The following is a 25,036-nucleotide window of genomic DNA, read 5'->3' on the forward strand; positions in this document are numbered from 1 at the left end:
GCCCAAGATGGCTTTTGTTTCAAGGTAGGGGCTCTCTGTGAAAAGCCCTGTTCCCTAATAGGTCAAATTTCTGAAATTTTTAAATCTAAAATTGCACTTACAGTATTTCACACACCAAAAGTTTGTGCTCCCAATTTTCTTCCTGTGCTGTGTTCAGTGGGTATGCTGTGTTCCAGAAATGGATCTGTTGTGTTTCACAAAGCTGAATTTTACTATCAATCAAATAGTCTTCTCTTGCTGAAAGCAAATAATTTGAACAATCACCAGTTGAGCAACACACTAAAAATGTACTGTACTTTATCTTGTGGGAAATGTTTTCTATTTAAAAACCAGCTGGTGATTGCTTACTGCTCCTTTGTGGCCCATATTAATGAGTGGAATCCAGGGGACAAGCCTGCAGAAATGTCAGAAGCATCATGGCCAATGGGGAGCTGAGCTTCTTGATGGCGCAAGGGTGCTGGGGGATGATAGGGTGAGACCATGTAGAAGAACAACTTTGGAGTCAGACGGGGGCTCCACTCACATTAGTCTCAAATTCTGCAGAATAAGTTTTCAAGTGGTTGTGAAGATAAATGAGGCAATGTATATATAGGGTTTAGCAACTACATGGCAATAGTTATCCAATGGTTACAGAGTATTTTAATGAACTAAATATCAATCAAAAGTATTAAAAACAAGGTCTCTGATCAGTCCCCCAAAGAGTAGAATTAACATGTGGCTAACATAGGACTCTTTCTAACATGGAAAACCACGTTCTCCATCTTGGATGTAGGCAGAGTGCATACAATCAAGATTTGGGAGGGCACAAAATCCAGGTGTACCTACAGACATTCAAATGAATTTGCTCCAAAACAACAGGTGATTAAAGTAAAGGATTTATTGTAATCTGCTTACAGTCCTTTGCAAAGACAGACATATGTTTTTGCATAAAGATATAAATTGCTTCATTTTAAACTAATTTAGTGTTTCTTTAAATTATATGAACTTTTGGTGAATTATGAACTGTACCAAACCAAGATTTTTAAGAGCAATATGGTACAAAAATAAGAGCAGACAGACAATTTGGACTGGGACAGGCATTCAACAGTGAATTTAGAATATGGCTTTGCTGTTTAATCAAGCAAAGTTACCTGGAGACACACAAAGAGCCAGTAACTTTGTTAATACAAAAAGCTGATGCAGACCATCTCCATCCCAAACCTGGTTAAGTAAGTCAGAATTCCCATTTTATAAAAACTAAGTCTGAACTAAAAGCTGCTTTTGTAAGTAAGCCATTTGTTTGCTAGCAACTCCCAGTCTGCATGCTGTGTATTTATTACCTTCAAAGTGTGGCTTTCATATTACTGTGCACCGTAAGTTGACTGTATTTAAAGATCTGCCTATAAATTAAATTCCTGAAATTGCAAATTATGTAAGAAAAACTCCTCCCTCTGAGTGCAGCTTTCACAGGTTTCCCCTTGCATAAGGCAGGTGTCTTTTGAAAGACAAGGTAATGTTGCCTGCATGGTGAACCCTGGAGAAAAGTGTTGATCTAATTAATTGCTGCTTCCTCGTGGCCATGGGCTTCTCCAGCTACAGCTTTTAGATTTTGGAAAATAATTAATATGATTTCACTGAGTAAACCTGATGATTATCATCATTTTTAAAAGATTAATTTGGCCTCTATTCAAAGTAGTTTATTTAGTGCAATCATATTGTTAGTTTCCCCAAAGATACATATGTTTGTGATTTGGGGCAAGAGAAAAGCCATACATTGCATCAGTGCCAAACAAACAGATTAATGAATTAAACATTTTAGTGCCACTGTCTTGCTTATATGATCTGTAATTTTTCTCCAAAACTGTTTATGTATAAAACTTATTTTTAAAACCTACCTTTTAAAAATCTAAAACCCCTCTATCTCCCGGTCTCCATGCCATTCAGACTGAACCTTGCCAAGATGGGCCGTCCCAGCGCATCCTGCCATGATCTGTGCGTTCCTGTGACCGGTTCCAGGAGTGCAGAACCTCTTTCCAAGATCAGAAGGGAATAGCTGATCTTTAACAGAGAGAGAGTGCATGGAATTTTTTTTTCCCACAGGAGAAAATCTGATTTTCTAAAATGGGAGGAAAAGATGCTCTCTGAGCCATCAAGTTCCCAGTCTCACTCTCGTAGAGCTGGTTCTGCTTCTAGAGGAAAAGGGAAACGAGGCAGCTTTCCCAAAGCTGCAGCACTCCAAGGACCTCCTCTCCCACATGTGTTGTCAAATGACACCTTCCAGGAGCTGCAGACACCGCAGTGTGTCATTCCCCGATGGAGCAGGATGAAGCAGAAGCCAGAAAACGTGCTGGAGTCCCACAAATGCCCCAAGCGGGAGACCAAGAACAAAACAAAAAGTACAGAAAAAGTAGAAAGGTTTCAAGACAACCGAAGAGGTTTCAGTGTGGTTATTTACAACAGAGACTGTAAAATAATGGTAAATTAGATATGAAGCTAAAAAAGGCACAGCTTTCCCTTTCTTAAATACACTGTAAACGGTTCATTATGCATGCAGGACATTGCACTTTACAAAAAAAAATTACCTTGTTTAGACAAAGATAGTACTTAAATAGTCTCCAGCAAAATAGAATTCTTTCAAAAATACTTTCCCATTCATCCTATTAACCATTAAAGATTTTTTTTGTATGTGTCTCATTTACAAAAGATCCTTATACCTTATTTCAGGTCCTTCATAATTTATACATACAGTAATGTACAGCACAGCAAAAGACTGCAAAAAATTATTTGTAAAGCCAACACAATAGATACTAGAAATCAAACCAAGGCATTTAACATCATCTTATCCATTCTAATTAAATAAGAAATGGACGCTAACGAGTGTGTATACCAGTGATGCAGAAGACCGTGGACGAGCGAGGGCTCAGAGGCAGCTGCTGCCCCACGCCACGAGTTCTGTTATTACACAACAGGAATCTGTATATATTTTTTTATTATTTTTTTGTGTTTTTTTAATAACAAAAGAATATTAATGCCCCATATTGACTATACGTTTTATGTGCAAACCAAGGGTAAGCTTTAAAACGTTCGTTAGTCCTTGAACCCTTTTAAAACAAGCGAACGATACCAGAAACTACACGGCATAGTTAAAACTTCTTCCATCTGTGAAAATATCAAAATCAGAGTTATTGACTAGATATGGCTTTTCATCCCGAGGAACAGGAACATGTTTCTAAGCGCTGGGGGATTGGAGGTGGGGAATCCTTCAGACTGCTCTGGTCTCGCCAAATCCACGGAAAAACAGCTTTCCCGGCTCCAAACCTCTGACATGACTTTAAACTTGAGAAACTGTTGAACAAGTGTGAATCAACCATCACATGTTAAAAACAGGTTTTCTTGGGTCCTTCTGGGTGTGGAACAACACAGGGAAACTTAAGGCAAAGTTCTTCTGGGCAGCGGGCAGTCACTTCCGGTGGAAGTAGAGCGGCTTGGCGTTCCCCGACTCCACCTTGGGCAGCTGGTCGCTGATGATCTCCACCAGCATTGCGGGGAACTCTACCTTCAGCGCATGGGACTCTCGGAAGGTGTAGAAGCAGAATTCCAGCAGGTCGCTCACCAGCTGTAACACAGACACAGGGGGCATGACACGGGGGCCTCCTTTCCGACCCTGGATCCCTCTGCCTTCTGACTTTGGTGGGAACTCAAATGACAACATTTAGAAAGCCTCCCAGGAGACCATGTCTTCATTAATTGAGCAGAGTCATCTGTCCTGGGAGAGGAAGAAGGGTGCTCACATCACCCATGTCATCTGCCTTTCATGGAAAACAAACAAATTCAGCTGAGAGCTGAATTTTGAGCACTGAATGTATGAGCTGAAACAGGGACAGTGACAGAGTTAACAGTGACTGGGTCACTGAACTGCACTCATCAAATTCTAATTTCTAAATGTGTGCCTACACGTGTATCTTTGTATTGGTGAGGGGCCTTCCCAGGGTGTAAGGTGGGCTGGTGGGAAGGGGCAAGTGCTGGCCCAGGGTCTAAGCACCACAGATGCCCAGGAGGGTGAGGAGCAGGACAGAGCACTGCACAGGCAGCTGTGGTGTTCCCCTAACTGGGCCCGCCAATGGAGCTGCCGCCAAGGGGCCAGCTGGCACTTCCACCTGCAGCCCCAGGCCCTCTTTCCTTCTTTGTGGGTGCCTGCCCTGTAGGGGCAGACCTGAGACTCTTCAGCTACTTCCTATTTCAGGCTGATTTTGAGACAGTGAAATACATCAAGGACAAGTTCTGGGGTGTCCCCCTAGCTCATTTTCCCTACTCTGTGAACCAAGAACTTTTCTCAGCCCCTCCAGACCTGACCTACTCCTACTTTATTAAAAAAAAATTGGAGGCTGGCAATACGGCCAAATAGGAACAGCTCTGGTCTGCAGTTCCCAGTGAGATCAATGCACAAGGTGGGTGATTGCTGCATTTCCAACTGAGGTACCCGGCTTATCTCATTTGGACTGGTTAGACGGTGGGTGTAGCCCACAGAGGGTGAGCTGAAGCAGGGTGGGGCGTCGCCTCACCCGGGAAGTGCAAGGGGTTGGGGAACTCCCTCCCCTAGCCAAGGGAAGCCATGAGGGGGACTGTGCTGTAACAGTGCATTCTGGCCCAGATACTACACTTTTCCCAGGGTCTTCACAACCCATAGACCAGGAGATTCCCTTGGGTGCCTATGCCACCAGGGCCCTGGGTTTCAAGCACAAAACTGGGCACTGGTTAGGGCAGACACTGAGCTAGCTGCAGTTTTTTTTTTTTTTTTTCATACCCCAGTGGCATCTGGAACACCAGCGAGACAGAACCGTTCACTTCCCTAGAAAGGGGGCCGAAGCCAAGGAGCCAAGCTGTTTAGCTCAGCGGATCCCACCACCACGGAGCCTAGCAAGCTAAGATCCACTGGCTTGAAATTCTTGCTGCCAGCACAGCAGTCTGAAGTCGACCCGGGATGCTCGAGCTTGGTGGGGGAAGGGGGGAGGAGCATCCGCCATTACTGAGGCTTGAGTAGGCGGTTTTGCCCTCCCAGTGTAAACAGAGCCACCGGGAAGTTCCAAGTGGGTAGAGCACACTGCAGCTCCCCAAAACCACTGTAGCCAGACTGCCTCACTAGATTCCTCCTCTCTGGGCAAAGCATCTCTGAAAGAAAGGCAGCAGCCCCAGTCAGGGGCTTATAGATAAAACCCCATCTCCCTGGGACAGAGCAACTGGGGGAAGGGGTGGCTGTGGGCACAGCTTCAGCAGACTTAAATGTTCCTGCCTGCCGGCTCTGAAGAGAGCAGTGGTTCTCCCAACACAGCACTAGAGTTCTGCTAAGGGACGGACTGCCTCCTGAAGTGGGTCCCTGATCCCTGTGCCTCCTGACAAAGAGACACCTCATACAGGAGAGCTTCACCTGGCATCTGGCGGGTGCCCCATTGGGACAAAGCCTCCAGGCAGCGATCTTTGCTGTTCTGCAGCCTCCACTGGTGATACCCAAGCAAACAGGGTCTGGAGTGGACCTCCAGCAAACTCCAGCAGACCTGCAGCAGAGGGGCCTGACTGGTAGAAGGAAAACTAACAAAGGAAGGGCATCAACATCAACAAAAAGGATGTCCACAAAGAAACCTCATCTGAAGGCCACCAACATCAAAGACCAAAGGTAGATAAATCCATGAAGATGGGGAGAAACCAGTGCAAAAAAGCCTGAAAATTCGAAAAACCAGAACGCCTCTTCTCCTACAAAGGATCACAACTCCTCGTCAGCAAGGGAACAAAACAGGATGGAGAATGAGTTTCACGAATTGACAGAAGTAGGCTTCAGAAGGTGGATAATAACAAACTCCTCTGAGCTAAAGGAGCAATGCAAGGAAGCTAAGAACCTTGAAAAAAGACGAATTGTTAACTAGAATAACCAGTTTAGAGAAGAATATAAATGACCTGATGGAGCTGAAAAACACAGCACAAGAACTTCGTGAAGCATACACAATTATCAATAGCTGAACTGATCAAGCGGAAGAAAGAATATCAGAGATTTAAGATCAACTCAAAGGAATAAAGCAAGAAAAGAAGATGAGAGAAAAAAGAGTGAAAAAGAAACGAACAAAGCCTCCAAGAAATACAGGACTATGAAAAGACCAAATCTACGTTTAATTGGTGTAACTGAAAGTGAAGGGGAGAATAGAACCAAGTTGGAAAACACTCTTCAGGATATTATCCAGGAGAACTTCCCCAACCTAGCAAGACAGGCCAACAAATTCAGGAAATACAGAGAACACCACAAAGATACTCCACAAGAAGAGCAACTCCAAGACACAGAATAGTCAGATTCGCCAAGGTTGAAATGAAGGAAAAATGTTAAGGGGAAGCCAGAGAGAAAGGTCGGGTTACCCACAAAGTGGGAAGCCCATCAGAATAACAGCAGATCTCTCTGCAGAAACCCTACAAGCCAGAAGAGAGTGGGGGCCAATATTCAACATTCTTAAAAGAATTTTCAACCCAGAATTTCATATCTAGCTAAACTAAGCTTCATAAGTGAAGGAGAAATAAAATTCTTTACAGACAAGCAAATGCTGAGAGATTCTATCACCACCAGGCCTGCGTTACAAGAGCTCCTGAAGGAAGCGCTAGACATGGAAAGGAACAACTAGTACCAGCCACTGCAAAAACATACCAAATTGTAAAGACCATCGATGCTATGAAGAAACTGCATCAACTAATGGGCAAAACAACCAGCTAGCATCATAATGACAGGATTAAATTCACACATAACAGTGGCCTTAAATGTAAACAGGCTAAATCCCCCAGTTAAAAGACACAGTCTGGCAAATTCAATCAAGAGTCAAAATCCATCGGTGTGCTGTATTCAGAAGACCCATTTCACGTGCAAAGACACATATAGTCTCAAAATAAAGGGATGGAGGAAGATTTACCAAGCAAATGGAAAGCAAAAATAGCAGGGGTTCCAATCCTAGTGTCTGATAAAACAGACTTTAAACCAACAAAGATCAAAGGAGGGCATTACATAATGGTAAAGGGATCAATGCAAAAAGAAGTGCTAACTATCCTAAATATATATGCACCCAATACAGGACCACCCAGATTCATAAAGCAAGTACTTAGAGACATACACAGAGACTTAGACTCCCACACAATAATATTGGGAGACTTTAACACCCCACTGTCAATATTAGATCAATGAGACAGAAAATTAACAAAGATATTCAGGACTTGAACTCAGCTCTGGACCAAGCAGACCTAATAGACATCTACAGAACTCTCCACCCCAAATCAACAGAACATACATTCTTCTCAGCACCTCATCGCACTTTTTCTAAAATTGACCACGTAATTGGAAGTAAAACACTCCTTAGCAAATGCAAAAGAAAGGAAACAACAGTCTGTCAGACCACAGTGCCATCGAATTAGAACTCAGGATTAAGAAACTCACTCAAAACACACAACCACATGGAAACCGAAAAACCTGCTCCTGAATGATTCTTGGGTAAATAATGAAATTAAGGTAGAAATAAATAAGTTCTTTGAAACCAATGAGAGCAAAGACACAATGTACCAGAATCTGTGGGACACAGCTAAAGCAGTGTTCAGACGGAAATTTATAGCACTAAATGCCCACAGGAGACAGCAGGAAGGATCTAAAGTTGATACCCTAACATCACAATTAAAAGAACTAGAGAAGCAAGAGCAAACAAATTCAAAAGCTAGCAGAAGGCAAGAAATAAGATCAGAGCAGAACTGAAGGAGATAGGGACATGAAAAATCCTTCAAAAAAATCAATGAATCCAGGGGCTGGTTTTTTTTGAAAAGATCAACAAAATAGATAGACTGCCAGACTAATGAAGAAAAGAGAGAAGAATCAAACACAATAAAAAATGATAAAGTAGATGTCACCACTGATCCCACAGAAATACAAATTACCATCAGAGAATACTATAAGCACCTCTATGCAAATAAACTAGAAAATCTAGAAGAAATGGATAAATTTCTGGACACACACCCTCTCAAGTCTAAACCAGGAAGAAGTCGAATGCCTGAACAGACCAATAACAAGTTCTGAAATTGGGCAGTAATTAATAGCCTACCAACCAAAAAAAGTCCAGGACTGGACGGATTCACAGCCAGATTTTACCAGAGGTACAAAGAGGAGCTGGTACCATTCCTTCTGAAACTATTCCAAACAATAGAAAAAGAGAGACTCCTCCCTAACTCATTTTATGAGGCCAGCATCGTCCTGATACCCAAACCTTGCAGAGACACAACAAAAAATGAAAATTTCAGGCCAATTTCCCTGATGACCATTGATGCAAAAATCCTCAATAAAATACGGGCAAACTGAATCCAGCAGCACATTAAAAAGCTTATCTACCACGATCAAGTCGGCTTCATCCCTGGGATGCAAAGCTGGCTCAACATACACAAATCAATAAATGTAATCCATTACATAAACAGAACCAATGACAAAAACCACATGGTTATCTCAATAGATGCAGAAAAGGCCTTTGATAAAATTTAACATGGCTTCATGCTAAAAACTCCCAATAGCTGGGCGCGGTGGCTCACGCCTGTTATCCCAGCACTTTGAGAGGCTGAGGTGGGCGGATCACTTGAGGTCAGGAGTTTGAGATCAGCCTGGCTAAAATGGTGAAACCCTGTCTCCACTTAAAAAAATAAATAAATAAATTAGCCAGGCATGGTGGCATACACCTGCAATCCCAGCTACTCAGGAGGCAGAGGCAGGAGAATTGATAGAACCTGAGAAGTGGAGGTTGCAGTGAGCCAAGATTGCACCACTGCAATCCAGCCTGAGTGACAGAGCGAGACTGTCTCAAAAAACAGACAAAAAAATAAACTAGGTATTGATGGAACATATCTCAAAATAGCTATTTCTGCCAAACCCACAGCCAATATCATACTGAATGGACAACAACTGGAAGCATTCCCTTCGAAAACCGGCACAATACAAGGATGCCCTCTCTCACTTCTATTCAACATAGTATTAGAACTTCTGGCCAGGGCAATCAGGCAAGAGAAAGAAAGAAAGGGTATTCAAATAGGAAGACAGGAAGTCAAATTGTCTCTGTTTGCAGATGACATGATTATATTTAGAAAACCCCATCATCTCAGCCCAAAATCTTAAGCCGATAAGCAACTTCAGCAAAGTCTCAGGATACAAAATCAGTGTGCAAAAGTTACAAGCATTCCTATACACCAATAATAGACAAACAGCCAAATCATTAGTGAACTCCCATTCACAATTGCTACAAACAGAATAAAATAACTAGGAATACAACATACAAGGGATGTGAAGGACATCTTCAAGTCTCAAGGAAATAAGAGATGACACAAGTGGAAAAGCATTCCATGCTCATGAATAGGAAGAACAAATATCATGAAAATGGCCGTACTGCCCAAAGTAATTTATAGATTCAATGCTATCCCCACCAGCTATCATTGACTTTCTTCACAGAATTAGAAAAAAACTACTTCAAATTTCATATGGAACCAAAAAAGAGCCCGCATAGCCAAGATAATCCTAAGCAAAAAACAAAGCTGGAGGCATCATGCTACCTGACTTTATACTACAAGGATAAAGTAAAACAGATATATAGACCAATGGAACAGAACAGAACAGAGGCCTCAGAAATAATGCCACACATCTACAACCATCTGATCTTTGACAAACCTGAAAAAACAATGGGGAAAGGATCCTCTATTTAATAAACGGTACGGCGAAAACTGGCTAGCCATATGCAGAAAACTGAAACTGGACCCCTTCCTTATACCTTATACAAAAATCAACTCAAGATGGATTAAAGACTTAAACATAAGACCTAAAACCATAACAACCCCTAGAAGAAAACCTAGCCAGCCAATACCATTCAGGACGTAGGCATGGGCAAAGACTTCATGACTAAAACACCAAAAGCAATGGCAACAACAGCCAAAATGGACAAATGGCATCTAATAAACTAAAGAGCTTCTGCACAGCAAAAGAAACTATCATCAGAGTGAACAGGCAACCTACAGAATGGGAGAAAATTTTTGCAATCTATCCATCTGACACAGGGCTAATATCCAGAATCTACAAAGAACTTAAATTTACAAGAAAAAAACAACCCCATCAAAAAGTGGGCAAAGGATATGAAGAGACTCTTCTCAAAAGAAGACATTTATGCAGCCAACAAACATTTGGAAAAAAGCTCATCATCACTGGTCATTAGAGAAATGCAAATCAAAACCACAATGAGATACCACCTCATGCCAGTTAGAATGGTGATCACTAAAAAGTTAGTTAGGAAACAACAGATGCTGGAAAGGATATGGAGAAATAAGAACACTTTTATACTGTTTGTGGGAGTGCAAATTAGTTCAAGCATTGTGGAAGACAGTGTGGTGATTCCTCAAGGATCTAGAACTAGAAATATCATTTGACCCAGCAATCCTATTACTGGGTATATACCCAAAGGATTATAAATCATTCTATTATAAAGACACATGCAGAGGTATGTTTATTGCGGCACTGTTCAAAATAGCAAAGACTTGGAACCAACCCAAATCCCCATCAGTGATAGAATGGATAAAGAAAATGTGGCACATACACACCATGGAATACTATGCAGCCATAAAAAGGATGAGTTCATGTCCTTTGCAGGGACATGGATGAAGCTGGAAACCATCATTCTCAGCAAACTAACACAAGAACAGAAAACCAAACACTGCATGTTCTCACTCATAAGTGGGAGTTGAACAATGAGAACACATGGACACAGGGAGGGGAACATCACACACTGGGGCCTGTTGGAGGGTGGGGGGCTAGGGGAGGGATGGCATTAGGAGAAATACCTAATGTAGATGACAGGTTGATGGGTGCAGCAAACCACCATGGCACGTGTACCCCAGAACTTTAATAACAATTATAAATGCAGCACAGCACTACCATTGCACAGCAAGAGCACTGCTATTCCATTTACTAGGAACAGCAATTCCAAATCAGAAAAAAATTCACTCTAATTTTTCTGTAGTTAGTTCTATATTCCATTATGGGAAAAATGATTTTTGGTCATTTCCAAGTGTATTACAGCTGGCAATATGAATGTCACCTGCCACAAAATAACTCTATAGTTTAATAGTCTGGTGAACTTGTATCTGTAACTTACCCTGATGATTTTAAAAAACACCCCATTAGCAAGCTTTAATTGAGTCAGATAGTAAATAACTGTTTGGTAAAGGCATCCAATACAAACCAGGAATCAAGAAAATCTCATCAGGGAAAAAACTGTCATGCTTCTGTTTGTACCTGTGTCACTGCCCTCAGTCTGCAGAGTGGTATTTTCCTAATCAGCTACCAAGGACTGTGGGGTTTAATGTGCTCTGCACCCGCAGGATGTTTGGGCCCAGAAAGCTGGGAAACAGCACCATGTTCACACACACATGCTATGCCGCAGTTTCCTCATCTGTATCCGGGCTATAAGAACAGTCTCTGAGCCTCAGAGTTGTTTCAGAGGAATGAATGAGTGACTCAGGTAAAGTGCTTCAAATTCCACCCGACATGGAGCAAGTTATTAAAGATGGGGAGAAGTACTGCTGGAGCAAGAGCGCTTTGATTCTGTCCTTCCCAAACTTCTTCCACAATAAAACACCATTTCCCTCTATGGAACACAGTTTGTGAAACCTGCTCTGTGCCATTCTGGTGGAACTTGGTCCTTGGGTCCCCCTTCTATAAAATGAGGGATGGGAGAACCTTTTTTTTTGCCTTTTCAGGAATATTTAAGAAACATGCCATCCCATTTCTGTTTTGTTTTTTCTCATGTGGCAGGACCATGGCTGTCAAAGCTACAGCTACACTGGGTGTGGCACTCCAGATGTGCCACCATGAGTCAGCAGTGCCAACTGCTGGGTGGGGATGCTTCCATCAGGCTAGCAGAGTCCTGCACACCCACCGCAGCGCTCGGGACCTCGATGCCCTGGAGTCCCTCCATGTGGGTGCCTGCAGGGCTGTGAGGGGGACTTTTTCCTTTTCTTACAGTTTTAACCCGAGGGTAGACATCTTGGTTTCTAGGCAGTATCAACCACCACAAGGACGAGTGTCTGGTGGCCACACCTTTCACATTTCTAGAATTAAGCCTTGTTCTGGGGATAAAGGTTCCCTGTTCTCAGGCCACAGAGGGTTTGGGGAGGGCCAGCGTCCTTTATCTACAACTCATCCTCACCATCTATCCAGCTAAGTCCCCGAGCACCTGCTCTGTGCCAGGCACTGGGGAAGCTGCAGTGAACAGATCTCTCAAGGCGTCTGTGTTCTTTTCTACTAAGCAGAAATACACACAGAAAGGCAGGTGCTGCTAGTGTGACGAGGGAAGGGAGGAGGTGCAGTTCAGAGGGGCTCTCAGGAAAGATGGGCTTGGCACATGACCTGAAGGTCGCATGGCCATTGGGGGACCAGCAAGTGCAGGGTTACCTAGGGAGTTCCTGAAGAGTGGAGAGGCCTGCCAGCCTACCGACTGACATCCCCAAAAAGTTATACAGCAGGGCCATGGAAGGGTTCATATTGATACACAGGTGACAGCAACGCTGACACATATGTACTAAGAAAAGGAACAAGTAAGTCGACCCTTGAACAAGAGGCAGCATGCAGCCCAGGCACATCTGTGAACCTGCTAACAGGGGGAGGTCCTAGGCCCTCTCGGAGCCTCTGTCCCTATCACCCACATAAACATGTCCACAGCATTGAGCATCACCCAGGAGATGCTGAGATAACCAGAACGGAGAGGGGCTGGGGTTAAGGGCTTGGCTGTTTTTCCTCACAGGTTGGCTGGGGACAGGTGTCCCAGACACTACTCAATAACAATGCATATTAACCTGGGGTTGGCATTTCCCACCCACCTCTGTTCCGTGTTCCACAGACAGAGAAAGCAGCTCATCCCCAGTCATGAGGGCTTCTGTTTATGCCTCGGTCAGCTGCAGAGGGATGGGACCTTCGTGCATAACCTGGGCCTGGCATTAGAGCCAGCAGGTGGCATTGGCCTGGCAGCCGGGGGCTGGGCATTTGACTCTGTAAGCATGATGTCACCAGTGGATGGGGGTGGTGTCACCACCAACTACTACCAGAAAAGGGCTCAGCCTGTGTTGTTGGGGCGGCTAGGATGCCCACAGGGCTGGGTGTGCAGAAGGCCTCAGCAGCTACCGGAAGTGCTGGCGGCCACAGAAGCCCATCTGGCGCACCCTGCCCTGGGACAAGGCTGAAAACCTCTGCAGGCCTAAATCCTGAGCCATGACTGCAGTTGCTGATGTCAGGGAACATCTGTGAGAATCCAAGCGGGGGCCCCAGTCACTGGGCGAGGAGAACATGACCAAGCTGGTCTGAGCTGCAGGTCCTGGGCTCCGTGTGCTCACTGGCCTGCACAGCCTTCCCCCAACCCTGGCCTGCTACAGCCAGTGGGCCAGGGAAGCCTTCAGGGCAGAACCCACAGATGCCTGGCCCTTAGCAGATGTTTAAGGTAGGGAGGCGCCACAGTGCAGAGCCCCATCTCAACTGGAAAAATCCAGGCGCGTGAAGTTAGCAGCTGCAGGTGGTTAGATCTCAAGGAGGTGGGCACAAGACCAGGAGAGCTGGGTGAGATTCACATATCAAACATCTGGGTCAGCATGGATACTGACCAGCCAGAATAGATACTGGTTCCTGTGCCACACCGCTGTGTTACGGCAAAGCATCTACCAGTCACCCTGTACATTCATGTGGGCACCTCCTGGGTACCAGCCTGATGTAGTGCACGGGTACACATTGAGGAATATGCAGACTTGGCCCTTGCCTGAGCCTAAAAAAGCCAGGAAATGAGGATACAAATGCATACAAAGCACTTGTACATCATCAGACACTGTCCCCAGTACAGAGCTGATAGAGGCAGGGCAGGCTGAACTCACACCCTGGAAGGGGATTCTGGGCAGGGTAGGAGCCAGGCTGTGCATCTCTAAATAAGCACCGTTTCTAGTTGGAACCCAAACTACTATTCCCACTGCAAAGCATGAAACCACCAAGAAGAGTTCAGTTCATCAGGATGTGTCAGTTTTGGAATGGGGGGAAAAGCCAGACCATCCCAAAGGCCACCTTTCAAAGCAAATTACTTCAGAATGACTGTGGGCACAGCTCTCCCGGGGATGCCCCAGCAATTTCCTCAGACACTCACTTGGCATGGAATCATTTTTGGAAAATGTCATGCTCGTGGGCAGCAGCTGCTTCCCCAGTTCTTTCTCTGCAGTCACCTCTTCCCCGCAGGCCTTCCTGGGGCCCAGCCTGAAGGAGTTCTTTCTGGACTCTCACCTCGCAGATGACACTTTTTTGTTTTTCTCATTTACTTAACAATTAGCCTTGGAGCCTGGTGACCCCACTTTCTCTTTAACCTGCTGTCCACATCTTTATGGGTTTAACCTGTCCTATTTACGGTGCAGCTCCTTAAACAGCGGCCTGCAAGCTCCTTGATGGAGGAATCACCTGTCTTATTCCCCACGGCTCCCAGAAGTGGCCCCTTCATGTTTCTGCTGTGCAACCCTGGTGTGGGCTGAGGGCTAAAGGGATTCCAAGCTACTCTTGCCCGGATTCTCGCTCCTGGGTTTCTCTGACTTATTCCAAGCTCCCAGTGCTTGGGAATGACTCATTTCAACAGTATTTTTTAGGGTAGCATGTTGCTAGTTTTATTCATTGAGCCAAAACAAAAACTGGGCAACCTAAATGAGCATCTTCATTTTGTGGCACCAATATTGCAAAACTCAATACATGAAGCTAACTCCTTTCCATCTTTCCCTAGACTCCGGTTTCCTTCAGCCTGTTTATGCTGAGTTTTAACATGACTCCATCCGCGTGCCATGCCAGGGGTGCTAGGAGCCCCATTCTCTGCTCACTGTGGTTAGAGACCCTGGGGTCGGAGTGGGGAGGGTGGTCATAGCGACGAAGCCAAAGCTCTACCTTTACTTGTCAGCATGAGTGACTTCATTGCAATGAGTCAAATGCAATGATGGCCTGGCCTGCTGTCTCAATGCTGATGCCCACTGGCCTTTCCTGGTAGATCCCAGGCTAGATGGAGAGGCAAGAACCCTAATTACAATCAGCAATAAGAGTCCCGCATTGTTAGAAATCAGAGGAAGATTTATGCATTGACTTTTCATTCTGTACAGAATTCATCTGCTGGGATCTCAGAAGTTTAGCAGATGCCCAGCATGATTTTTCCAGCCTGATGGGCCACAGCTGTCAGGGTGGAAGAGGAGCCTGGCAAGGTCACAGGGCAACTGATGGCACTTGGCTCGCTCTGACAATGAGGCCGTGGGGCTCAATCTGCCTTTTCCATACTACCCTCACAAGTCATTGCTGGGGCAGGCCAGCGGCCACTCCCCGCTCTCCCTGCTCGCAAAGGAAGGCTTCTCAGAAGGCCTTGCAGGGAGAGTCTCCTCCTTGCTGCACATCTGGGGCCACTGCTGCTGTTCTGAGGTTACACAGTCACTTAAGTGGTGATGAAGCCTGAATGATACAGCCTCTCTAAAGTAGGTCCCACATGACTTCAATAGCGTGCTCATTTCTTATATGTTATCTGTTGACTCCAGAATGTCTACCTAATTGGAGTGAGCTTTTGCCTAAAATGAGCATTGGGGCGGGGGATATTGGAAACTTTATTTTCAAAGATCAAAATTTTAGTCAGCGATATGTTGGGGTTAGGGCAAAAGATACATCAACTCAACTATAAATACTCCAACGCTAGTAGTTTCACTGGACACAAATGACTGGCAAGTCTTTATAAAGTCCAGGTGTTCCAGAAATAGCCTTGTGAATATGGGAAAATGACCTGCAGTGATTATATAAGAAGTTTGGCCTTTATCTGAAACAAAACAGTGTTATTCTTGGATATGGCACCAAAAACATAGGCAATGAAAGGAAAAAAGATAAATACAAGTAGATCAAAATTAAAAACTGTGCATCCAAGGCCACCATCAAGACAGTTAAAAGGCAAGCCAAAGAATGGGAGAAGATATTTTCAGTCATATATCTGAAAAGAGGTTAATATTCAGAATAGATAAAGAACAACTACAACTCAACAACAAACCAAACTGAATAAAAAAATTGATAAAGGACTTGCCAAAGCCATTTCTCCAAAGAAGATACACAAATGTATCTTTACAAGATACAAGAAGAGATGCTTGACATCTCCAGTCATCAGAGAAATGCAAATCAAAACTAAAACTGCAATGAGATAGCATTTCACACCCATTAGGATGGCTATTATCAAAAAAGGGGGAAATAACAGGCATTCAAAAAACAGTGGAAAATAACAAGTGTTGACAAGGATATAGAGAAATTGGAACATTTGCATGTCACTGGTGAAAATGTATAATGGTGCAGTGCTTTGGAGGACAGTATGACAGTTCCTAAAGAGATTAAACAGAGAATTGCCATATGACACACCATTCCACTTCTGGGCATATACCCAAAAGAACTGAAAGCAAGTGCTCAAATAGATATTTGTACATAAGTGTTCACAGCTGGGCATGGGGCCCACGCCTGTAATCCTAGCACTTTGGGAGGCTGAGGTGGGTGGACCACCTGAGATCAGGAATTTGAGACCAGCCTGGCCAACATGGTGAAACCCAGTCTCTACTAAAAATACAAAAAATTAGCCGGGTGTGGTGATGGATGCCTGTAATCCCAGTTACTCGGGAAGCTGAGGTAGGAGAATCGCTTGAACCCGGGAGGCGGAGGTTGCAGTGAGCCGAGATTGCGCCACTGCACTCCAGCCTGGGCAACAAGAGCAAAACTCCATCTCAAAAAAAAAAACAAAAAAAACAAAAAAACAAAAAAAAAACAAAATATGTTCACAGCAGCATTATTCACAATTCCGAAAGGTGAAAACAGCTCAAAAGGTCCATCCACAGATTAACGAAATGTGGCATACACAGAGAGCTATTATTCAGCCTCAAAAAGAAATGAAATTCTGATACATGCTACAGCACCATGAACCTCAAAAACATTAACTAAGTGAAATGAGCCAGATAAAAAAGAACAAATACTATATGATTCCACTTACATGAGGTACCTAGAGTAGCCAAATTCATAGAAACAAAGCAGAATAGTGCTTACCAGGAGTAGGGGAAAGGAAGTTAGTGTTTAAGGGGCATAATTTCTGTGATGGATGGTGGTGATGGTTGCACAACTATGTGAATGGACCTAATACCACTGAATTGTACACTTAAAATGGATAAAATGGTAAACTGTGAGCTATGTATATTCCACAATAAATATTAATTTTGAAAAAACAGATTCTAAACCCCCAACCTGCTCCCAGTGCAGGCTGAAAGGGAAGCTGCCCGCTTGTGCCCAGATGGGCCCCTGAGCCATGTGGCTCTGCTTTTTCCCTGTCTGGTTACGGCTCAGCAAAATGTGACGTGATATGAAAACTCCATCCCTTACCAATTTAGCAGCATTTGATTTGTTTCTATATCTAAGGAAAATACAACCTTAACAAGGTTATGCTACCACTCACTATGGGCTCCCTTCTGAAAACCCAGGCTCCACAATGCCATCGCTCAGCTGAGTGTTCCTGGCAGGCTCTCTGAGTGGGTGAGTTTTGGAGAGTCCTGAAGCCCTCCTAGATCTGACCAAGAGAGACCAAAAGGCTCTTCTTGGCCAAAAGTTTGTCAGTGAGCATGCTCGGTGCAGCAGCTAAATGCTAGGCACGTGAGAGGCATTTGGGGACCTTAGAGGGAAGCTTAGTGACGCTGATGGAGTGACAGAGGCAGGGTTGTCCCATGCAGCCTCCCAGGGCTGGTTCCAGAGTCTAGACTGGTGCAGGCTCAGGCAGTCTGGGTCTGTCCAGTGCCTGCCCAGGAATGGGCTGGCTGGGATGGGAGGGTGGAGGGGTGGAGTAGGTGCTACAGTGTCTCATGAGAAATCAAGGTCATTTCTGAAAACTCATCCCGGCCCCCATCCATTAGCATCTGATTGTTATTGAGACTGTGTTTTAATTTGTTCTTCATCCCCATTTTTATAACAAATTTAACACCAATCACTGATCTCTGGTCAGGGGTGAATATTAAATCCTTAAATCATGTTTTTGGATGCTGTGCTAAGCAAGATGGGCTCAATTTACTTCTAATTTTTTTGTTTAATTTTATTTAATTTCCACCTTAACGTTTCCTTGTATTAAAAGCCTCATTCTAGACCACAGCTCTGCCTTCTTGAGAATAAGGTCTATTGTACATGTGAAAAACACAGAGAAAAATGACACAATGGAAAAGAAGAAAGTGGAGCTTACAGATAAAGGGGTAATTAGAACCTTGCTGAACAAAGGAAATGTAATGAAAGGGTGGTGTTTGAAATGCATTGGCATGTTACTGTATATAGAAGTATGAACTTTTCCTAATCTTGTTTTCAATATTTCCTAGATCCTTCTTGCAAATGTACACTATGCTGAGCAAAGTAAAAATCTGAGCTGACTTGTGTTTATATGTTACCAACTTTAACATTAGGTTTAATCTAGATTAGGCAGTTAAATCCTTACTTCAATCTCCCCAAAAAAGGAACACCAAGCAATAAGGGGCAGACCCTAGTGGCCAGAGGCAGCCTTAGGTAAGAACAGGTGAGATCAAGGTGTCTCAAGGCAATAGATAAGGACTGTTCTCTTCTCTTGATTCTATGATGCCACAAAAAGCAAACGGTCTGGCAAACTACAGTTGCAGGTCAAATCTGGCCTCATGCTTTTAAGTTTTTTCCATGTTTGTGTTTTTTATACTTTTAAATGACTGAAAAAAAATCCAAAGAATAATATTTTGTGACATGTTCATATGTTATGAAATTGTTTAGAATGCGGCCACACTCATTCATTCATTCACATATATCCTGTGACTGCTGTCATGCTACAGTGGCACAGCTGAGTAGCTGTAACCAAGATTGTGTGGCCCACAGAGCCTAAACTAGTTACTACGTGGCGCACTACAGAAGTTCGCTGACCCATGGATTGGAAGGCATCTCACAGATTCAATAACAGCTTTTGAACGAACAGGTTTTGTTTGTTAAAATATATAAATCAAGTATACAATGTCTCCATCTTATTTAGGATTTAGTAGTTTTCAAAACTACTAAAACGTTGGGGAAAAGAGGTCTCCAAATTAAGTGATATGGTGGTACTTAGATCTGGCTTTCCTCTTACCATACAGATTCTTCTAGCCTTTAGGAAACGCCTTAGAAAGAATCCTAGCACCTATGGGCATAAGGCTAGGTAACCGAAGACGTCATGCAACTTAAAGGTTCCAGAATTTGTCATTCAAATAGACAACCTCTGTCATACATGTCTCACATTTTTGGCTGTTCCTTCAGGAGTCATTTCCCTTTAAGCCTACATTTCCTGGGGGTTACATATATTCACAGTCGATCCTCGATATCCATGGTAGCTAACTGTCTTACAAAGTCACCTGAACACTGATTTAACGAATACTGAACAATTGCTCCTAGGGGAAATACAGGGTTAGGTTCCCACAAGCTGCTGAGCTGCCCCTGTAGGGTTGACAAGAATTGCACGCCAGGTTCTGGAAAGAAATATAGTTATAATTAAGTATTAATCGTGCTGCACTTTGGCCCACTTCCTACTTGCTAAAAGTCACATAGCATTAGATACTGACCATACAGACAGGATCTCTTGACACTAGAATCAAAGGCTTTTGTTTAAGGATCGCTTAAGACAAGCCTGTCCTGTCCAACCCATGGCCCACGGGCTGTATGTGGCCCAGGACGGCTTTGAATGCGGCCCAACACAAATTCATAAACTTTCTTAAAACATGATGAGACTTTTTTGCGTTTTTTTTTGTTTTTTTTTTTTTTTTTAAGCTCATCAGCTGTCGCTAGTGTTAGTGTATTTTATGTGCAGCCCAAGACAATTCTTCTTCCAATGTGGCCCAGGGAAGCCAAAAGACTGGACACCCCTGGCTTAAGATGTTTTTCAGACCCTGAATTCCTGCAACCGGTTTGAAGACTCCCACAGAGGAACAGGATCAGCATGAGAATATGGCTTCTTCATCTCCCTGTTCAGCGACTTCCCCCTGTACTCTTCGACCAATCAATGACCTCCACACTTCCGCCCACTCCCAAGCCCTTAAAAACCCCTGCCCCAAACTCCTGGGGAGATGGATTTGAGGTTTCCTCCCATCTCCTCTTTTGGTGTGACTCTGATTAAACCTCTCTGCTGCAATCCAGTGTCTTGGTGTATTGACTTGCTGTGTGCATCAGGCAATAACCTATTACGGTTACATTGCTGGTCGCAACTTTTTCAACAAATGACCAATATATAACCTTGTTTTATGCATGTTTCTGTTTAAAGACATCTTATTTAATGTATACTGCCAATTCCCTAACATTGAACTCATGGCCAATAGCACTGTAACTCAGGCCTGAAGGATGCTTCTTTAACACACATATTTTCTCCATAAGCCACGTCATAGTTTTCTTGCACTTAGGAACATAGACAGCACTGGGGCTCTATGCTTGTGGGCCATCTCAACAGTAGACTCACCAACAAAATGCACAAAAATGCAAAAAAAAACATGGCATGCAGTAGACCTCAAAAAGGATGAGTATTTACGGCATTAGAGCTGAAACAAGAGAGCAGAGTCACCTTGTTTGACCTTGCCAGGAACATGCACATTGGTGACAGGCATTTTTCACTGCTCTGCACATCTGGGAATGCCTGCAAAAGTGCCCTGAGCATTGATTTTAGGGCTACAAATACATTTTAGTGAGTAGGTGAAGTTGTAAATACAAAATCTGAGAATGATGAGTATTGACTGTCTGCAGTTTAACCCACATATACTTTCTAGTCCCTTTATGACCTTGATAAACTTAATTGGTCAATTGGCATCTTCCTAGCCTTTTAAATATCAATCATTTAAAACTATCTCCTCTATTTTATAATGACACTGACAATAACATTTCTCTATTGCTTAAGAGTGTCTCACTCCTTATGAAATTCCTTCACTATTTCCTTTTTGTATCAAATTAGGCCCTGGGTTTAAAAGTTCCTTTTTTATAGCATATCAGTGAGTCCCTTGTCTGCCTGAATTCTTATGTACTGCTCCACCCAAACTTTTTGTCTTTCCTATCTCTGCTGTCTTCTTCCCTGGCCACACCTGCAAGGTGTTCTACCCATTGCAAGCTGTACTGCAGGCTGAATTCTGACAAACACAATCTTAAACAGATTATATTATGCCTAGGCCAGGCTGCGTAACTGCGTAATTGGTGGGGCCCTGTGCAAAATGAACATAAGGGGTCCCTCGTTCAAAGTTTATTAAGAATTTCCAGATGGGAGCAGCAGAATATTATGCCAAGAGTGGGACTGCAAGGCCACACCCCCATGACACTTGGCCCTGGAGATGCCCACTTTATGGATAAGCCCAGAGTGACACCTAACCTATCAGCAATGGAGCTACCCAGGTGGAGGGCTGGGCTGCCACCCACAGGAGCCACCTGATGGCTCCCTCAGGTGCTTCTTTCCCTCCTGCCTCATTTATGAGCCCGTGAAAATGCATTTAATCACCCCATCTTAATTCCTTTCTCTATAAAAAGGATAAAAATAATCCAAGTAAGCATTACTATTATTTTCTTTTTATAGAGAAAGGAATTAAGACAGGAGGGTGATTAAGTTTAAATAGTAATATTTACTCATCCTCACCTCATGGAAACATTAGAAGGATTTAATGACAGGACTTAGAAAGAAAGACACTATGTAAATCCCAGGTATTACACAGTTATTATTATATTGTAAGAAGAGGGATTTGAGCTGCATAGGAGCGGGGGATTTATTGACACAGGTGTTAGACAATAAGATAGTTTCCCAAAATCTCCCCTAGATATATTTCAGATCAGGAAAAGATTCCTGTGTGTCAGGTTTGATTTAGATGTGATCTTCTAGAAACATAGCCTGTAGGACCTTCAGTGGTTTTTTTCTCCCTAAAATTTTTGTTTTTTCCAGAAAGATCACCCTGTGGCAGCACAAATCTCGCAGTCAGGTGGGAATGGAATGCCTGATTTCCTCCCATAATGAGGCAAGATCCTAGTTTTTCTGCAGTGTTCTTACAGAAAATTACTTGCTTATAAGTCTTCAAAACTAGCTGTGAACACAGGCACATGTTCTATGGGTTTGTAACCTGTGAAATATCAATGATGAAGCACGAGGAGCTGGTGATCATAAGAAAAATACTTTTTTCCCTTCTTTAAATAAACTGAGATCAAACACCGCTTTTAATTTTTGCCAGTTAAGGATTAAAAGAAACAGACGATTTTCTGTTGTCATTATAAATTCATAAGAGAAAGACGATCTTGGCACCAAAACAAACGAAGTGAAAACAAACAAAAACAGAGAATGGGAGAAAATATTTGCAAATCATAGATTGGATAAGGGGCCAATGTACAGAATATATAAAGAACTCCTACAGCTCAACAACAAAAAAACAAAAAATTGATAAAATGGGGCAAAGACTTGAAAGACGTTTCTTCAAAGAAGACTTACAAATGGCCATTAGCGCCTGGAAAGGTATTCAACATCACTAATCAGGGAAATGCAAATCAAAACTACAATGAGTTACCACTTCACAAGCATGAAGATGAGCACTAAAAAGAAATCCCAGAAAATAACAAGTGATCACAAGGATGTGGAGAAATTAGAATCCTTGTTCACTGTTGTTAGCAATGAAAAATGGTGTATCTGCTGTGGAAAAGTTCGGTGTTTCCTCAAAAAAATAAATGCAGAATTATATGATCCAGCAATCCAGTTTCTGGGAATATTCCTAAAAGAATTGAAAGCAGAGTCTCAAAGAGATATTTATACATCCATGTTCATAGCAGCACTATTCACAATAGGCAAAAGGTGGCAACCCAAATGTCTCTTGACAGATTAGCAGGCAAACACAGTGTGGTGTATACATACAATGAAATATTATTCAGCCTTATAAAGGGAGTAACTCTGACATCTGCTGCAACATGGACGAACTTGGAGGACATTATGCTAAGTGAAATGAGCCAGTCATAAAAAGACAAATACTGTATGTCTCCTCACATGAGCTACTCCCAGTAGTCAAATTCATAGAGACAGAAAGAGGGGAAGGGGGAGTTTTAGTTTTGCAGGACAAAGAGCTCTGGAAATTGGTTGCACAACAATGTGAATGTACTCAACACCCACACTGTACACTGAAAAACGGTTAACATGGTACATTTTATGCTTGTGTATTTTACAATTAAAAATAAAATAATAAAAAAGCATAAACTCCTATGTGGACATTCCCCCTTCTCATTTCTGTAAAACATAGTACAATTGCATCTTAAAATGTTGCCTGGCTGTTGACCAACTGTTGGTAAGCACTATGAATTGTCTAAAAACCAGCCGCTGGGAAAACATTAACCTTCTTGAAAGAGGTAAGTATATTACCCAGGTTTTGCATTAAGTCAGCCACGAAAGCTATGATCAAGCACGAAAGACTGAAGAAGATAGAGGTTCTGTGGCTGCAAGTGGAAATGAACAATCATAATTAAGGTGTAATGTGAAAGTGATGGGAGAGGAAGGGTTCAGGACCTGCATCATTGAACTAAATCATGACTTAAAAAAGAAGATCAGCTCAGAAGCCTCATAGCTGCCTTTGATGCTGAACTCTTCACATGTGTGATATATACACATCCTCACATATATACACATATATGCATACAGTACATAATAAAGCCAGCCATGGTCTGGAATAGAGTTTCGGGATTATTTACAAAGATAGGCTTGTTAAGCTGATGGGATTTCTTAGCCAGGCTTAAACATATAAACACAAAGACATTGTATATTCTCTCAACCACATTCGAACTGCTCACTTACATACATCCCACCATTTAACAGAAAGAGCCATCATTCTCTTCTATTTATTAAGGCAATTTTACTAAGGAGCTTTGCTGGACAACACTCTCAATATTAAAAAAAAAAAATGGACTGCTGTCCCTGTTTGCTTTGTGGCTTCTAATATAGATACTGGAAACCCCGTGAGCATTACCATGCCTTGAGTCGATCCACTATTCTTCACAACCACCTCCCAGTTGCTATGGCTACTGAAAGTTGTTCAGGCCATTTGCTAACTGACCTTTCTGCAGCTTCTTCCCCTCAGGCCCCTCGTTGGCAAAATGGGGCACACACTCTCTTTTCTGGCTTGTCCTGAATGTCCCCATTCTGCCTCCTTTTCTTCCTTTAGCAGCAGCGCTTTCCCAGACTTTTTGCAGCCACCTCCCCATTTGACCACAGTGTTTCCTCTGGACCCTCTTCCGTTCTGTGCCCTCTTCTTGAGCTGCACCAACAGCTGGGCAGTTCCATCCACTCCCAGCTTCAGTGACCACTCACATGCTGCCGCCTCCCACATCTGCAGCAGCAGGCTGCCTTCCTCACCTTGATCCACAGAACTCAGTGTCTACCTGCTATTTCCTCCAGAATGTCCTAAAGGTCTTTCAAATCCTGTACGTCCTAAACAAGCTCTTCATCCCCCCTCCCAGATCTCCTGGCCCTGAGCCCCCTCCTCTGGGCAGGTGCTACCTTGCCCAGCTATCTACTTCCAACTCTGGGGAGTTCTCTTTGACTTGCTCTCTCCTCTCTCAACCTCCCCATCCCTTTCATCACCAGGAGTCATCATTCCACCACCTGAACCTCTCTTGGTGCTCCTGCCCCAGCTTGGCTCTACCAGCTCTCACCTGAACCACAGCACCAGCATCCCAACTGGGACGCTGCCTCCTGCCCCTCCTGGATCCTCTAGAATCTGTCAGACAGCACCATTCAGCACAACCTTCTGCACAGCTTTCTGTTGTCATTATAAACAGAATGGTGGCAACTAGCCACATGTGGCTGTGGGGCACCTGAAATGCAGCTAGTGTGTTCAGGAGACTCATTTTCCATTTTACTTAATTTAAATGTAAAGAGCCCCACACGACGGTGGAAATGGCGTTGGACAGATCAGCTCCAGATTCTCTACAGATGTGGTGAAAATG

General features: G+C 43.4%; 1 protein-coding gene across 8 annotated transcripts in view, besides 1 other annotated feature; it reads right to left on the reverse strand.

The window, feature by feature from the left end:
• The window catches only part of NR3C2 (nuclear receptor subfamily 3 group C member 2), a 366,559-nt gene continuing 342,382 nt past the window's right edge, over positions 860-25,036 (reverse strand). For all 8 annotated transcript variants that reach the window (NR_148974.2, NM_001437655.1, NM_001437654.1 and 5 more), the window contains one exon: positions 860-3,595. Coding sequence is in view for 7 of the 8 variants with exons in the window: in NM_001437655.1 (NP_001424584.1) it covers positions 3,440-3,595 (156 nt within the window). In the remaining variant the exon portion in view is untranslated. The remainder of the gene's footprint in view (positions 3,596-25,036) is intronic.
• Positions 12,534-13,183: an enhancer, noted in NCBI's record as "H3K27ac-H3K4me1 hESC enhancer chr4:149011589-149012238 (GRCh37/hg19 assembly coordinates)". NCBI's record gives its function as "activates a minimal SCP1, AML or CMV promoter by ChIP-STARR-seq in naive H9 embryonic stem cells {active_cell/tissue: H9 hESC(naive)}" and the evidence as "EXISTENCE:reporter gene assay evidence [ECO:0000049][PMID:30033119]".

Source organism: Homo sapiens, chromosome 4 (assembly GCF_000001405.40).
Source record: "Homo sapiens chromosome 4, GRCh38.p14 Primary Assembly".
NCBI lineage: Eukaryota > Metazoa > Chordata > Mammalia > Primates > Hominidae > Homo > Homo sapiens.